Genomic DNA, 17226 nt, shown 5'->3' on the forward strand with positions numbered 1-17226 from the left:
AATTATATGGAATGCTTCATGAATTTGTGTGTCATCCTTGTTCAGGGGCCATATCTGTATCTCTATATTGTTCCAGTTTTAGTTATGTGCTGACGAAGCAAGCACCGCTGTTATATTTTTAATTTTTTTTTTCAGGAGGGTACTGAGTCTAATGAGGCTGCAGGGCCATGAAACCCTGCACGCTTCCTACCCATGCCTCCATTTTTTTTTTTTTTTTTTTTTTTGAGACAGAGTCTTGCTCTGTTGCCCAAGCTGGAGTGCAGTGGCATGATCTCAACTCACCACAATCTCTGCACCTCCCAGGTTCAAGTGATTCTCCTGCCTCAGCTTCTCGAGTAGATGGGATTACAGGTGCCTGACACCATGCCCGGCTAATTTTTGTATTTTTAGTAAAGACAGGGTTTTGTCATGTTGGCCAGGCCGGCCTCGACTCCCAACTTCAGGTGATCCACCCACCTCGGCCTCCCAAAGTGCTAGGATTAAAGGTGTGAGCCACTGCGCCAGGCCCCAAGCCTACATTTTTAAGTGAGGTAGTCAAGCAGGCCTCACCGAGAAGGGGCCATTTAAGCAAAGCCTTGAAGGAAGCAAGGGAGTGAGCCATGTTGCTATCCAGGAAGAAAGTAACTCAGGCAGAGGGAAGAGGCAGTTCTACCCATAGGTGTTTGGGAGGAGTAAATGACGTGAAGTTCCCCTTGCAGTAAGTGGTCAGCAAATATTGAGTGGCCACCTCTGTCCCTCCCCTTACAGAGCTGTCAGGATCCAGGTGACATCTAAGAGCACCTTCTAGCTCCAGTGACAATGACCACTCTGGCTTCTGAGGGTCTCTGGAACACTGTGTTCATGGACGCCATCCACCCTCAGGAGTACCCTCCCTAGCTGAGCACAGCCTGAGCCCAGGGAACAGTCATTGCTGCTGGGGCTTCAACATGCATAGGGAGCACAGAGGCCTCAAAGAGGAAGCCAGAAACAGCAAGGCGGAGGCCCTCACCTTCCACTGGAGGCCTCTTGGGTCATTCCCCCAAGACAGCCCTGTCCCAGCGCTTAGGAGGCTGTGCCTGGAGGGGCTTGGGCAAGGGTACAGCCACATGGTGGAGTGGGAGGAGAGAAGGAAAGGGACCCATGCTTACTAAGGCAGATCTGGCTTTGAATATTATTATGCCACTTAGTAGCTCTTTTACCTTTATAAATCTCTGAACCCTTCTGAGACTCGATTTCCCTATCTGTAAAATGGGCATGAAATGTTCTATTCTGTGGGGTGGTTGTGAGGACTCAATGACATAAGATAGGTGAAAGTGGCAAGCAAATAGCTGGGTCCCCCTTCCTTCTGTACCAGGTACCTGAGAGGCAGCCACTATGTCTTATTCAGTCAGCTTGGGTCCTTATTTATTTTATTCATTTCTTTTTTTCCCTTCTTTTTTAAGGGGCTTTCTGGCAAAAACTGAAAAGCCTGCTAGACAAATTCTAAAAGAGCTGTAACATTTGTTTTATTCATTTCTGTCGGGATAAAACCACCCATGTTTCAGGGAGTATGAGGTTTCAGTGAGATAACAGATCAAAATTGTGCTTAGCATAGTTACTGGACCAAAATAGGCACTCCATAGGTGTTTGTTGGGTACCTAAAGGGATGGAGGGATGGATGGATGGATGGATGGATGGATGGTTAGAGGGATAGATAGATGGATAGAGGGATGGTGGGATGGAGGGATGGATAGGTGGATAGACAGATGGGTATGTGGGAGGATGGCTTGCTGGTAGGATATCAAAGGGAATAGGACTTTTTATACAGAAATACCAAGTCTGCACAAAAACCAGGTGCTTTACAAGAAGGTCTTATATCTCTTTGTGGCCTTAGGTCTTGAGCACATATATAACACAGATGAGTAAAAACAGGCATAAATGTATCCAGGTCTAGTCAACTGTGACCTCCACTTACCACTCTTGGGTCTATGACTCATCTCAACGAGGCCAGATCTTACATAAGCAAGCATTCTCCAACTGAGATCACTGGTGGTTCCCTGAGGCAAAAGCTGAGATCAGGGGCAAATGCAAGGTGAGGCTTTCCTGATACACAGGATGCCTTGGAAATTCTAATCAGTGATGTTTCATCAAAAGAATTACAACTCAGCTTTTCCCATAATTCCTGTCACCGTTGCAAGAATGGAGAGATGCAGGTGAACAGCCAGCCCTGCATCCGCTGCAGCTCCACACTGTGTAACTTCTGCAATCACTTAGTCTCTCTGAGCCCCACGATCTCCTTAGTAAGATGAAGGGGTTGAACCCTCCCAGCTCCAAGATGTTCTGATTCTCTGAAAACTCCCTACATCTTCCTTTAAAATATGGACCTAGAACTTTGGAAGAACATGTATTACATTTCTTTTCCATCTATCTCTATAGAGTCTTCTCAAAACCTTTTAAAATATTTGCATGTATCTGTCAACATGTCTGTTTATGCTAAACCCTGGGGAAGCTGTACACTTTGGAGACAGACAGATCTCAATTCCAGGCTATATGTGAGAAACTGGAGACAGATTATTTAGATCCGGTTCCTGCCCCCCAGGATAGGAAAGACAGGCATTGAAAGGAATTAATTTCAATGGTCACAGTAATTAAGGTATACAAATGTTGGACCCTCCCAGTCCCAAAATGCTGCCTGGAGGAATTCAGAAGGCTACCTATTGGAGTATTCTGGGATATGTCAAAAAGAAGAGGGGAGCTGCGGCAGCTCAGGCCGGTCGTCCTGGCCCTCGGGGAGGCGAGGCTACACGTTTGAGGCCAAGCCTGGTCAACACTGACAAAAAAAAAAAAAATTGGCCAGGCGGTGAAACCCCGTCTCTACTAAAAATACAAAAAAATTAGCCAGGCATGGTGATGGGCCTGTAATCTCAGCTACTCGGGAGGCTGAGGCAGGAGAATGGCATGAACCCAGGAGGTGGAGCTTGCAGTGAGCCAGGCTGGCGTCACTGCACTCCAGCCTGGGTGACAGATCGAGACTCCATCTCAAAACATAATAATAATAAAACAAAATAAAATAAAAAAGAAGAGAAGGGCTGGGTACAGTGACCCATTCCCGTAGTCCCTGCTACTGGGGAGGCTGAGGTAGGAGGATCACTTGAAGCCAGAAGTTCGATCCTGTAGTGTGCAATAGGCATGCCGGTAAACAGCCATTGCGTGCCAGCCTGGGCAATATAGCAAGACCCCACCTCCAGGAAAAAAAGTTTAGAAAAAAACAGAAAAGACAGAGGATACAGGAGGAGTAAAGGTGGCTGTACTGGGGTGGTGAGGAGATCAACAAGGCTGGAGCATGGGCTACAACCTAATATACTCCTCCCATCCCCCTGATCCCCATGAGCGCATGGTCTATGTGTTGGGGCAACATCCTGGGAGAAGCAAGGAGGTAATCACAAGTCACTGTCTCAGAACTGTCAGTTACTCTTGTTTTTTTTCCAATTAGAGACAGGGTCTCGCTATGTTGCCCAGGCTGGTCTCAAACTCCTGAGCTCAAGCAATCCTCCTGCCTTGGCCTCTCAAAGTGCTGGGATTGCAGGCATGGGCCCAGAGTTATTCTTTATTGAGACCCTGTGCACTTTATACCCATCAAAGTAGAGTTTCCTAAAGTGTGTACACAAGTCACTGAGACATGTCAAGTGACTTTAGACACAACACAGAAAAACTATTTTTTTTTTTTGAGACAGGGTCTTGTTCTATCACCGAGGTCAGAATGCAGTGTGGCATGATGATCACAACTCACTGCAACCTCAGCCTCCTGGCTCAAGCAATCCTCCCACTTCAGCCTCCCACAAGTAGCTGGAACTACAGACACACACCACCACGCCTGGCTAATTTTTTTAATTTTTTAATTTTTTTATTATTATTATTTTTTAGACAGAGTCTCACTTTGTCACCCAGGCTGGAGTGCAGTGGCGCGATCTCGGCTCACTGCCATCTCCAACTCCCGGGTTCAAGTGATTGTGATTCTCCTGCCTCAGCTTCCCAAGTAGCTGGGAAGCTGGGATTATAGGCACCCACCATCATGACCGGCTAATTTTGTATTTTTAGTAGAGACGGGGTTTCGCCATGTTGACCAGACTGGTCTTGAACGTCTGACCTCAGGTAATCTGCCCTCCTTGGCCTCCCAAAGTGCTGGGATTACAGGCGTGAGCCACCACACCCACAAATTTTTTGTAGAGGCAGCATTTTGCCATGTTTCTCAGGCTGGTCTCGAACTCCTGGGCTCAAGCAATCCACCCTCCTCAGCCTCCCAAAATGTTGGGATTACAGGTGTGAGCCACCGCACCCAGGCGAGAAACATTTTTATAGTTACGGTTTTATGTTTATGTCTACCTTCTATTTGTGGCAGGTAGTATTAGTTTTCATTTACAATTATGTTATAATGTTTTCTTTCAAATAAATGTAAGTTTTTAAAAGTGACTTAATTTAAAGAAAACTTCTTTATTAAGTAAATGGACAGTTGGTACACAGATATTGCAAAAATTTCGAGGCGGGTACATGAATGACTGAAATTCAGGAGACGCGGGGAGTTAGCACAGAAGCACTTTCCTCATTCAGAGCTCTTTTGGCTGCGAGAAACAGACACCCAATCAAATCAGCTTCAGCAAAATGAGAGAATGTATCCTGACAAGGGACGCTCACAGGGCCTAAAGGAAGAGTGCTGGGCCCCTGGAGGACTGAGGGAAGCCGGCAGGTCCCTGGAGGCGGTGCCCGGCTGCTCTCCAGGCGCCTGTGATTCCTCTGGTCCCTGCCTTGCTATGCGTATCTTCCCTCTGAGCAGAGCCATTTTCTCTACCACATTCATGCAGGTGCCCATCCCCCGCAACACACACAGACAAACACACACACATGGACACAGTCACAGCTCCAGGGTTTCTATGTGTTCAGGTAAGGGACCTGCAAAGCCTGAACAGCCTCCCTAAATCTAGATGCCCACCTCTCATCCTTTCAGCTCCCATCAGAGGATCAAGGGGCCCAAATTCGCAGAAAAGGGGAGGGTCTAAGATGAGCAGTCACCCTGCCAAGAGGTGTCTGCCTCAACATTAGTGGCGTATAACAATCCCATGAGGTAGCTTTAACCTCATAGGTAATGACCCTAAGAGGTAGGAAATTCAGTGCCTGGTCCCTCAGCAGGAAATGACACAGCCAAGACTTGAACCAGGCTTGTGTGATGCTGCACTAGCCACCGGGTCATCCCATCAGCCAAGTCCAGCCCACAGCTACCATCCCAGACTCCAGCAGGTTACAGGTCCATCGAGAGGCATTTCTCAAAATCAGCAATCCGGTGTTTGCCCGGTACACAGGAAATGAGTATCCCAGCTTCACAGGGACACTGACTGGAAGGAAGGAAGACTTCTCTGAAGGAGCACAGAGCTCTAGAAACCAGAGAAGTTTCCTCTGAGCCCCTTGGGTCTGAGGCTGCCAGGTTCACACTGCAGATACTTGTCTCAGGGCAGGAGAGGAGGCTCATTTGCATATACTTGCCAAAAATCACAAGCAGACATCTAGAGATCCCCAGGAGAAGCTGACACCTGGCTGACACCTGCTGACAGTAACTGCTCCTCCCACCTCCTGGAAGCTATGTTAGGAGGACCCTCCCAGAGGGCAAGGGAGGAGAGAACTGACAGACCCTTCTACCCAGGGGCCTCATGTACTTCCCAGCCCATGTGCCTGTTCGTATGGAAGCCCCTGGACATCGGGGTGTCCTGGCCTGGACAGCTCCAATTTTGCCTTTTTTGTTTGTTTGTTTGTTTTTGACACAGAGTCTCACTCTGTCGCCCAGGCTGGAGAGCAGTGGCGTGATCTCGGCTCACTGCAAGCTCCGCCTCCTCCCAGTAGCTACAGCCTATGGGACTACAGGCATGCGCCACCACGCCAGGCTAATTTTTTTGTATTTTTAGTAGAGACGGGGTTTTACCATATTGGTCAGGCTGGTCTCAAACTCCTAACTTCAAATGATCGGCCCACCTCAGCCTCCCAAAGTACTGGGATTACAGGCATGAGCCATATTTTTGTATTCTTAGTGGAGATGGCGTTTCACCACGTTGGCCAGGCTGGTCTCGAACTCCGGACCTCAGGTGATCTGCCTGCCTTGGCCTCCCAAAGTGCTGGGATTATAGGCATGAGCCACTGAGCCCAGCCCCAATTTTGCTTTCAAGGGGCCTTTGCCCACCCTCAGTGGGTGGCTGCCCCACAGAAGGTACTTAATTAGGGACTATTGTTGAGACAGAAAGAGGAGGTGGGCATCTCCTTCCCACTCCCCCAGAGCTGACTGGACTAGAGGCAAGGCCTTTGCAGACAGACACGTCTGTCTTGGGAAGCAAGCTCTTGTCCTAGCTTTTGGTCTGTTCATGTTTTATCTTCTTTGGTCACCATTAGGGACAGGTTGCCAGATGAGTCAGAGAAGGTTCCATCAAGCCCCTTCCCCTGAGAAAGGTCACAAAGACCTTGTGCCGGAGGGTGGAGAGAGGATGGCAACATCTTAGCTCAAAAGTCTGCCCCAAGGTAGTGCCATACAGTGAGGGCAGTGTCCTTTCCTAACCCAGTCTACCTCTATCACTTGAGAGTAGTTGCCCAAAGCTTTTTTTTTTTTTTTTTTTTTTTTTTTGAGATGGAATCTCGCTCTGTTGCCAGGCTAGAGTGCAATGGTGCAATCTAGGTTCACTGCAACCTCTGCCTCCCAGGTTCAAGCGATTCTCCTGCCTCAGCCTCCTGAGTAGCTGGGACTACAGGCGTGTGCCACCATGCCCGGCTAATTTTTGTATGTTTTAGTAGAGATGGGGTTTTACAATGTTGGCCAGGATGGTCTCGATCTCTTGACCCATGATCTGCCCACCTCGGCCTCCCAAAGTGCTGGGATTACAGGTGTGAGCCACTGCGCCCACTCCCCCAAAGCTTTAGACCGATGCCCCATCGGGGAGAACTAGGTGGTTTAAAGTCTTCCCCCAAGGTCTGCACCTGGCCCTGACATTCCTTCCGGCCCCATAAGATTAAGGGACTCAGGATAAAGTCATCAGTCACAGTTACTGTAGTATGCGCCCACAGGCGGATGAAGGGGCTCATTTGAGTTCTGGATTTTCCAACAGCCTGGCTCTGCCATCATCCCTGCCCAGGTGAGGTAGCCTCCAAATCTAATGGCCCACCAGTGCCCACAGAGGTGGTGCCCAGACCACAGTAGATATCCCTTCTTCCCCCAGCTCAGTCCATGATGTTCATGGAGGAGAAGACTTCAGGCCTGGAAGCAGGGACTAATTTTTGAGGGAATTGCCAGGGATCTGGTTGAATGGCACAACCACTTCAGTGACCGTATCCGTGGTGGCCCGGGAGCATTTCCGGCTACTGCGCATGCTGTAGAACTTTTCGGTGAGGTGCTTGCGGAACTTCTTGGTGAGGAAACAGTAGATAACAGGGTCTAAGACACAGTTGGTGCTAAGGAGGCAGAGGGTGACCTGATGTGCATCATTAATGGCCTGGTGGAATTTGCTGTCCTGGAAGCCCAGCTCAGCAAGGGTCCAGGGCAGCTGCACCACGTGGTGGGGCACGAAGCAGATGATGAACACCGCCAAGACCGTGCACACCATCCACAGCGCCCGGCGCTTGACTTCAGCGTTGCGCTGCTGCTGCACCGGCTGCATGAGCAAGGTACGGATGATGACCAGGTTGCAGAAGAGGATGATGAGGAAGACCAGGAAGAAGCTGAACACGATGAAGATGTGGATGATGAGGACTGGCACGCTGCCCTTCTCGTAATGCTCAAAGCAGCGAGTGACGTTGCCTGAGCCAGCACTGTCGGGCACTGTGTTGGTGGAGTCCAGGATGAGGAAGTAGGATGCAGCTCCCACAATGGCCACCCAGATGACCAAGGACAAAGAGATGCCACGCTTGCGGGTGTTGGCCTGAGCAGTCTTGATGGGCCGAGTTACTGCCTGGAAGCGGTTATAAGTGATGACGCCCAGGAAGGCCACAGAGCAGTAGGTGTTGATGAAGAAAAGGCAGCCAGCCACGTTGCACAGGAATTTGGGGAGTATCCAGTTGCCCTGGTTTTGGTAGTAGACAATCCAAAGTGGCAGGGTGATCAAGAAGAGCATGTCCGCCATGGTGAGGTTCACCATGAAGATCTTTATCTCATTGAATTTCTTGCAAGGGTACAGGCGGGCAAAGACCCACAGCACGTAGCCATTAGCAATGACCCCGAGCACAAAGATGATGCTGTAAACAATCGGGAAGAGAGTGTATCGGAACTCAGAGTCCATGTGGGAGGAGTCATGTGGCTCCATTGCTGTGGGCTGGAATGATCAGCTGGTCCTGGTGGTGCCTGGAAGACCACACAAAAATTCTGGTTAATAAAGGGACAAGAAGGGACTGTTCCATTTCATCAGTTCCAAGACTCCTTGCCATGGTTAGAATGATGATGTCCCCTCAGAAGTTCATGTTGAATCTTTTTTTTTTTTTCAGATGGAGTTTCACTCTTGCTGCCCAGGCTGGAGTGCAGTGGCGTGATCTCAGCTCACCGCAACCTCCGCCTCCCGGGTTCAAGCGATTCTCCTGCCTCAGCCTCCCAAGTAGCTGGGATTACAGGCATGCACCACCATGCCTGGCTAGTTTGTATTTTTAGTGGAGATGGGGTTTCTCCATGTTGTTCAGGCTGGTCTCAAACTCCCAACCTCAGGTGATCTGCCCACCTCGGCCTCCCAAAGTGCTGGGATTACAGGCATGAGTCACTGTGCCCGGCCTCATGTTGAATCTTAATCCCCAGTGCAGAGGTGTGGCCTGTGGAAGGTGATTAAGTCAGAGGGTGGAATGGGATTAGCACACTTAGAAAAGGGCTCCGGGTTGCCCAGGGAGGTCAAGGCTGAAGTGAGCTGTGATTGTGCCACTGCACTCCTGCCTGGGTGACAAAGTGAGACTCTGTCTCACACAAAAAAAAAAAATAATAATTCTTTAAAAAGGGGCTCAAGGTTGAAGAAAGCACTTAATATTGCCCTTTTTGTCTTTCCATCCCTTTTGCCATGTGAGGTCACAGCTTTCAAGGTGCCATCTTGGAAGCAGATAACCAGGCATCAGACACTAAACCTGCTGGTGCCTTGATCATGAACATCCTCCAGAACTATGAGAAATACATTTCTCTTCCTTTTTTCTCTTCTTTTCTTTGTTTTTTGCTTTTTATAGACAAGGTCTTGCTCTGTCACCCAGGCTAGAGTGCAGTGGTGCGATCACAGCTCACTGCAACCTCAACCTCTTGGGCTCAAGCAATCTTCCCACCTCAGCCTCCTGAGTAGCTGGGACTACAGGTATGCGTGTGACACCACACCTAGCTAATTTTTGTATTTTTTGTAGGGAAGGGGTTTTGCTATGTTGCCCATGCTGTTCTCGAACTCCTGAGCTCAAGGAATCTGCCAGCCTTGGCCTCCCAAAGTGCTGGGATTACAGGCGAGAGCCACCACCCCTGACCATGCAGTGTTTTTTCCTACATAAAATAATGGTGTGTTTTTACAATAAATAGCACCTGATAGTCAATACAATCAATGGCAGTTCTGTTTCTCTTCTTTTATTCCATTTTAAAATATAACTGTCTGCCCAGGCATGATGGCTTACGCCTGTAATCCCAGCACTTTGGGAGGCCAAGGTGGGCGGATCGCCTGAGGTCAGGAGTTCAAGACCAGCCTGGCCAACATGGTGCAACCCCTGTCTGTACAAAAACACAAAAAATCAGCTGGGTGTGGTGTTGTATGCCTGTAGTCCCAGCTACTCAGGAGGCTGGGCTGAGGTGGGTGGATCTCCTGATGTCAGGAGTTCGAGACCAGCCTGGCCAACATTATGAAACCCTGTCTCTACTAAAAATACAAAAATTAGCTGGGCGTGGTGGCAGGCGCCTGTAATCCCAGCTACTTGGGAGGCTGAGGCAGGAGAATCACTTGAACCCGGGAGGTGGAGGTTGCAGTGAGCTGAGATCAAGCCACTGCACCCCAGTCTGGGCAGGAAGAGCAAGACTCTGTCTCGAAAAAATAAATAAGTAATAAATAATAATAAAAACAAAACAAAACAAAAAAAGTTGCAGAAAATGTTTGTTATGACCCCACTATATATGCGTGTTTGAATAGAAGATCTAGAAGGATACACCTCAAATAGTTGACAGTGGTAAGTAGCCTCTGGGAAGGTGAGGTAGCTTAGTGGGAAGTTTATTTACTTTATACTTTTATGTGTTTGTTTGAATCTTTAAAGGGCATTTATTATCTTAATAATTTAAAATTTTGAAAATACAATGTAAGGACATGCACAGTGGCTCATGCCTGTAATCCCAGCATTTGGGAGGCCAAGGTGGGAGGACCGAGTGAGCCCAGGAGTTCAAGACCAGTCTGGGCAACACAGTGAGACTCCCGTCTCTAGTAAAATAAAAAATGAAACAATTAGCCAGGCATAGTGGTGCACGCCTGTAGTCTCAGCTACTCAGGGTACTGAGGCAGAAGGATCGCTTGACCAGCCTAGACAACATAGTGAGACACCATTTCGAACAAAACAAAACAGTTGCTCCCTTCCCTCTTGTTCCTCCCACTATTGCTGTCATTGCAAGCTCCTAGGAGCTGCCCTGTTATTTACATTGCAGTGGGCATGACTCAGGGAAGCAGCAGGCAGGGAGGAGGATGGGAAGCAAGAACCCAGCTGGGGCTAAGCAAGGTCCAGCTCATAATATCTAATAGTGTAGTAAAAAGAGCGCAGTAGGCCAGGCGTGGTGGCTCACGCCTGTAATCCCAACACTTTGGGAGGCCAAGGCAGACAGATCCTTGAGTCCAGGAGTTTGAGACCAGGCTGGGCAACATGGTGAAACCCTGTCTCTACAAAAAAAAAAAAAAAAAAAAAATACAGGCTAGGCGCGGTGGCTCACACCTGTAATCCCAGCACTTTGGGAGGCCGAAGCAGGCACATCACAAGGTCAGGAGTTCGAGACCCACCTGGCCAATATGGTGAAACTGTGTCTCTACTAAAAATACAAAAATTAGCTGGGCGTGGTGGTGGGTGCCTGTAGTCCCAGCCACTCTGGAGGCCGAGGCAGGAGAATCGCTTAAACCCGGGAGGCGGAGATTGCAGTAAGCCGAGATTGTGCCACCGCACTCCAGACTGGGAGACAGATTGAGACTCTATCTCAAAAAAAAGAAAAAAAATTAGCAAGGCGTGGTGGTGCTTGCCTGTAGTCCTAGCTACTTGGGAGGCTGAAGTGGGAGGATCGCTGGAGCCCGGGAGGCAGAGGTTGCAGTGAGCGGAGATTGTGCCACTGACATTCCAGCCTAGATGATGGGGTGAGACCTTGTCTCAGAAAATGGGATGAGACCTTGTCTCAGAAAAAAAAAAAAAAAAAAAAAAAAAGGGAGTGAGACACAAGGAAGACAACACTTGGAGCACCTTCTTTGGAGCCAGGTACCCTGCTAGGTGCTTCCACGTGTACTACCTCATTTGAGTCTCACACAAACACTTTGCCATAGGAAGTAAGATCCCATGCTACAGAATAGGAAGCTGACTACGGGGTGGTTATATGACTTGTGCAAGGTCACACGGCTATTAAGGAATGGTGCCAGGATCTCAGATCCAGCTCTGTTCTTTCACACATCCATCCAACAAATATTTCTGAGCACCAACTGCAGGTAAGGCACACAGCTAAGCACAGGAGCTATAGGGCGAACACCCAGCAAGGGGGCCCTGACCTCAGAGAACTTACATCTCTCGGGGTAGACAGACAAAAGCAATTTAAACAAACACCGTTGTTATACAAACAAACAGGAGTGCTGATTGGGCCGGCCGTGGTGGCTCACGCCTGTAATCCTAGCACTTTGGGATGCCAAGGTGGGTGGATTGCCTGAGCTTAGGAGTTCGAGACCAGCCTGGGCAACACGGTGAAACCCCATCTCTACTAAAATACAAAAAATTAGCCAGGCATGGTGGTGGGCACTTGTAATCCCAGCTACTTGGGAGGCTGAGACAGGAGAATCGCTTGAACTTGGGAGGCAGAGGTTGCAGTGAGCCCAGATCATGCCTTTGCGCTCCAGCCTGGGTGACAGAGCAAGACTCTGTCTCAAAAAAAAAAAAAAAAAAAAGTGGGGGGGGAGGGAGGGCAGCACGGATATTGAGAACAAAAAGAGATCTACTTAGAAAGGAGGTGACATTTCAGTTGAGGCCTGAAGGAGGAACAAGAGCAGAACATTCCAGGCAGAGAACTCTGCATGGGTCCAAAAGTGCGGCAAGAGCTTGGTGGTTTCCAGGAACGGAAATAAGCTTATCAGATGGCCCTTGCCCTGACCTCCAGCTGCCACTCCACCCTCACCTCGTGCCACCTTAGCATCAGGCTCTAGCCAGAACGGACTTCCCAGGCGGACCTTCAAACCTGTCCAGACATTTCCTGCCTAGAAGCCTCCACAATACCCATCTTGCTGTTTTGAATGCTCTTCCCTACCCACTCCTCACTCTCCGCTTTCCTTTTTTGTTGTTGTTGTTGAGATGGGGTCTCGCTCTGTCACCCAGGCTGGAGCGCAGTGGTGCAATCTCGGCTCACTGCAACCTCCGCCTCCCAGGTTCAAGCGATTCTCCTGCCTCAGCCTCCTGAGTAGCTGGGATTACAGGTGTGTGCCATCACACCCGGCTAATTTTTGTATTTTTAGTAGAGACGGCGTTTCACCATGTTGGTCAGGCTGATCTCGAACTCCTGACCTCATGATCCGCCACCTCGGCCTCCCAAAGTGCTGGGATTACAGGCGTGAGCCATCTCGCCTGGCTCCACTCCCCACTTTCACCTGGCCAAGTGCAACTCATGCTTCAGACCTCAGCTGAATTTCACTGCTTTAGGGAGGTCTTCAATGGACTTGGCTCACGGCTGTAATCTCAACACTCTGGGAGGCCAAGGCAGGCAGATTGCTGGAGCCCAGGGGTTTGAGACCAGCCTGGTCAACATGGCAAAATCCCCTCTCTACAAAAGAAAAAATTTAAATTAGCAAGGCATGGTGGTGCACTCCTGTAGTCCCAGCTACTCAGGAGGCCAAGGTGGAAGGATCAATTGAGCCTGGAAGGTCAAGGCTGCAGAGAGCTGTGACTTCACTACTGCACTCCAGCCTGGGCAACACAGCAAGACCCTGTCTCAAAAAGTAAAACAACGAAAAAGTCCATTGATATGATGTAGGTTCTACATCACAACGAACCTTTAAGAAACTACTATATGCGGGGCTTTGATATCATATCAAAGAATAGTATCTGCCAGGCGTGGTGGCTCATGCCTGTAATACCAGCACTTTGGGAGGCCGAGACGGGTGGATCACCTGAGGTCAGGAGTTCGAGACCAGCCTGGCCAACATGGTAAAACCCCACCACTACTAAAAATACAAAAAATCAGCCGGGTGTGGTGGCAGGCACCTATAATCCCAGCTACTCGGGAGGTTAAGGCAGGAGAATCGCTTGAACCCAGTAGGCGGAGGTTGCAGTCAGCCGAGATCATGCCATTGCATTCCAGCAGCCTGGGCAACAAGAACAAAACTCCAAAAAAAAAAAAAGAAAATATCACCAATTATCTGAAAAAGCCATTAAAAGATCCCTCCCTTTATAAGTATGTATCTGTGTGAAGGCAGATTTTCTTCAACCAAAACAACATATCACAGCAGCCTAAGTGCAAAAGCAGATATGAGAATCCAACTGTCTTCTATTTAGCCCAACATTAAAGAGATGTGTAAAAAATGTAAATCAATCCACTTCTCTCCCTAAATTGTTTATGTTTTAGAAAATCTAGCTATTTTTACAAAAATGTGTTATTTATGTTAACATGGAAAGAGTTTATTATTGGGTGTTTTTGTTTAAAAATGAAAATTTTTAGAATGTCTAAGTTTTCATTTTTAATACAATATTGCTGGAGATAACTTATGTAAACAAAAGCTCTTTGGCACCCTCAATAATCTTTAAGGATATAAAAGGACCCTGAGACCAGAAGACTTGAATACTGCTGCTCCACAATCTCAGCACCCCTGCCCTTCCTTGGATCCCAAGATGCCCAGTTCATCCAGGACCGGCCTTGTTTCTCTCTCAGGCTATACTGGTTATACCTTCTTGCCTTGGGGGTCCTGTTTCCAGGGCATGGAGGCATATTTGGCCTGTGTGGTGGCTGGGGGCAGCTCACAGCTGGGCAGGGCATGGTGCTCATTCTGGGTCTTGGGGGCAGTCAGGTCCGCACCTCCCTGCTACCCCCGCCCCCTTGCCCATCACAAAATGCCTTCCTCTTCCTGGGTTCCTGCACCCTGCCTGCCCACGCCTATTGAGAAAGCCTTTCCGCCAGGGCCAGGACTAGAGTGAAACATGTGAGGCATTCACTGGTTGCAAAATTTAAGAAGACACTAAACCTCAGCAATCAAGATAAATAATATTTTATTTTGTTTATTTATTTTTGAGACAGGGCTTGGCTCTGTCACCCAGACTGGAGTGCAGTGGCACAATCTTGGCTTACTGCAACCTCCACCTCCTGGGCTCAAGCCAACCTCCTACCTCAGCCTCCCAAGTAGCTGGGATTACAGGCACACGCTACCACACCAGCTAATTTTTGTATTTTTTGGTAGAGATGAGGCATGCCCACCATGGCCAGCTAATTTTTATAATTTTAGTTAGCTAGGCTGGTCTCGAACTCCTGACCTCAAGTGATCCGCCCGCCTCGGCCTCCTAAAGTGCTGGGATTACGGGTGTGAGCCACTGTGCCTGGCCAATAAATAATATTTTAATGCAATATTTTTTTAAATCAAAAGGAGTATTACTGATTCTTCCTCTTGCCTCAATCTCTAATATAACTGCCTGGCACTATTATGATACTGTCTTCATCTAACATTTTGGTACTTTGTTTATCATAATTTTTTTTGCATTAATTTTGATTTTTTTTTTTTTTTTGAGGTGGAGTCTCCCTCTGTCACCCAGGCTGGAGTGCAGTGGCGCGATCTCAGCTCACTGCAAGCTCCGCCTCCTGGGTTCACGCCATTCTCCTGCCTCAGCCTCCCGAGTGGCTGGGACTACAGGCGCCTGCCACGACGCCCGGCTAATTTTTTTTGTATTTTTGGTAGAGATGGGGTTTCACCATGTTAGCCAGGATGGTCTTGATCTCCTGACCTTGTGATCTGCCCGCCTCGGCCTCCCAAAGTGCTGGGATTACAGGCATTAGCCACCACGCCTGGCAATTTTGAGTTTTTAAAAAAACCTTCTCACCATGTGAACAGAACACACACACAGACTAGCCCAATTCACTCATTCAGTTGCTCATTCATGCATTCGTTGGACAAGCACTCACAGCTCCCGGAGCTGAGCAGTGCCCTGAGGCCTCAGAGAACAGACCCAGCCCTTGAGCAGCTCACAGGCCATTTTGCAAGAGAGAGATTCAGAAATAGATAAGCGGGCGGTGCTATGATGATGGATGTATCAGGTGTAACGCGGTTTCAGAGAAGCTGCCCCTACCCAGACTTGAGGGTGAGGAGAGACCTCCTGCCTATGCTGAAGGAGTTAATTTGATAGTGCGAGGAGAGAGGAATAACAGGCACAGGGGACTGCGGGACAGAGGCCTGGAAGAATAGGCAAAGGCGTACTTCATTCTAAAGGAACGTGAGACATTTGGTTTGGCCAAAACTTTAAGGAGTTGAGAAGAGACAGGGCTTTAAAAATAAGCAACAGGGCCAGGCGCGGTGGCTCACGCCTGTAATCCCAGCACTTCGGGAGGCCGAAGCGGGTGGATCATCAGGTCAGGAGTTTGAGACCAGCCTGACCAACATGGTGAAACCCTGTCTCTACTAAAAATACAAAAATTAGCCGGGTGTGGTGGCACGCATCTGTAATTCCAGCTACTTGGGAGGCTGAGGCAGGAGAATCGCTTGAACCCAGTAGGTGGAGGTTGCAGTGAGCTAAGATCATGCCACTGCACTCCAGCCTGGGCAACAGAGCCAGACTCCATCTTAAAAAAAAAAAATCATCAGTCAACTCAAGATGGGTCCTAGAGGTTAGTCTAAGGAGTCTGGACTTTATTCTGCAGACAATGGGAGTTATTGAAGGATCTTGAGCTTGGAAGGGACAAGACTGGGTCTGGATTTGGGGAAGATGGCTTTGACCACTGTGCACAGAATGAACTGGAGGTGATCAGACCAGAGTCAGGGAGACAGCAAAGAGACACGTGCAGTCGTCTGGAGGGCCTCAAGAGGACTGCACCAGGGCAGAGCCGATGGAGGGAAATGGATGGTTGTGAGAGTTATTTGGGAAATCAGATGGACAGAATTTGGTAACGGATGGGATATTGGTTGAGAGAAAAGGAGGAAACAAAGAGAACTGCCAGGTGTCTGGGCCAGATGATTGAGGACATGGTGGTGTCTGTCTTCATGGAGAAGACACTGAGGAGGAACAGCATGAGGGCAGGGAGGATGAATTCATATGAGGACATATCCCATCTGGGATGCCTGTGAAACACCCAAAAGGACCAGGGTTAAACCCTGAAGAGCCCAACATCAAGGAAGAAGTCAGAGGAGGACAGACCTATGGAGGCAGAGACAGGACAGTCAGAGACAAGGAGGGTTCCATGCTTGAGGCCTAAGGGAAGAAAGTTTCAAGAGCTTGGGAAGACATGGGCAACAGTGTGAAAAGCCACAGGGAGATGAATGACAATGCAGACAGAAAAGCAAACACTGGATGTGGAAACATGGAAATCAATCTCATGTGATCAGATCATGTGATCACAGGGAGAGCAGTTGCCCAGGCATGGGTTGAGGGGTGAGTGATAGGAGAGAAAGGGGAATGTCAAATCCTCACTCAAGAAGTTCGATTGAGCCAGGCACAGTGGCTCACTCCTGTAATCCCAGCACTTTGGGAGGCCGAGGCAGGACGATCACTCGAGGTCAGGAGTTCCAGACCAGCCTGGCCAATATGGTGAAATCCCATCTCTAATAAAAATACAAAAATTAGCCAGACGCCTATAATCTCAACTACTGGGGAGGCTGAGGCAGGAGAATCGCTTGAACCCAGGAGGTAGAGGTTGCAGTGAGCCGAGATAGCACCACTGCACTCCAGCCTGAGCAACGAGAACGAAACTCCGTCTCAAAAAAAAAAAAAGAAGTTTGATTGAGCAACAAAATGCTGTGTGTGGACCTTGTTTGGATCCTGATTCAAATAAACCAACTGTAAAAAATATTTTCCAGACAATTGGGCTGGCTGTGGTGCTCATGCCTGGTCTCA

At 48.7% G+C, this 17226-nt stretch overlaps 1 protein-coding gene and 2 pseudogenes across 4 annotated transcripts in view, besides 3 other annotated features; all 3 read right to left on the reverse strand.

Moving 5' to 3' along the window:
- Positions 1-105, reverse strand: RNU6-176P (RNA, U6 small nuclear 176, pseudogene; annotated as a pseudogene).
- On the reverse strand, positions 1420-1478 carry RNU7-29P (RNA, U7 small nuclear 29 pseudogene; annotated as a pseudogene).
- Positions 1856-1905: a silencer, noted in NCBI's record as "silent region_534". NCBI's record gives its function as "represses an Ori minimal core promoter by ATAC-STARR-seq in GM12878 lymphoblastoid cells {active_cell/tissue: GM12878}" and the evidence as "EXISTENCE:reporter gene assay evidence [ECO:0000049][PMID:35858748]".
- PTAFR (platelet activating factor receptor) overlaps positions 4430-17226 on the reverse strand; it is a 46691-nt gene continuing 33894 nt past the window's right edge. For all 4 annotated transcript variants that reach the window (NM_001164722.3, NM_001164721.2, NM_000952.5 and 1 more), the window contains one exon: positions 4430-8323. In NM_001164722.3, the coding sequence (NP_001158194.1) occupies positions 7257-8285 (1029 nt within the window). In that variant the 5' untranslated portion in view covers positions 8286-8323 and the 3' untranslated portion in view covers positions 4430-7256. The remainder of the gene's footprint in view (positions 8324-17226) is intronic.
- Positions 5461-5961: an enhancer, noted in NCBI's record as "H3K4me1 hESC enhancer chr1:28474708-28475208 (GRCh37/hg19 assembly coordinates)". NCBI's record gives its function as "activates a minimal SCP1, AML or CMV promoter by ChIP-STARR-seq in naive H9 embryonic stem cells {active_cell/tissue: H9 hESC(naive)}" and the evidence as "EXISTENCE:reporter gene assay evidence [ECO:0000049][PMID:30033119]".
- Positions 5556-5695: an enhancer, noted in NCBI's record as "active region_585". NCBI's record gives its function as "activates an Ori minimal core promoter by ATAC-STARR-seq in GM12878 lymphoblastoid cells {active_cell/tissue: GM12878}" and the evidence as "EXISTENCE:reporter gene assay evidence [ECO:0000049][PMID:35858748]".

Source organism: Homo sapiens, chromosome 1 (assembly GCF_000001405.40).
Source record: "Homo sapiens chromosome 1, GRCh38.p14 Primary Assembly".
Taxonomy (NCBI): Eukaryota; Metazoa; Chordata; class Mammalia; order Primates; family Hominidae; genus Homo; species Homo sapiens.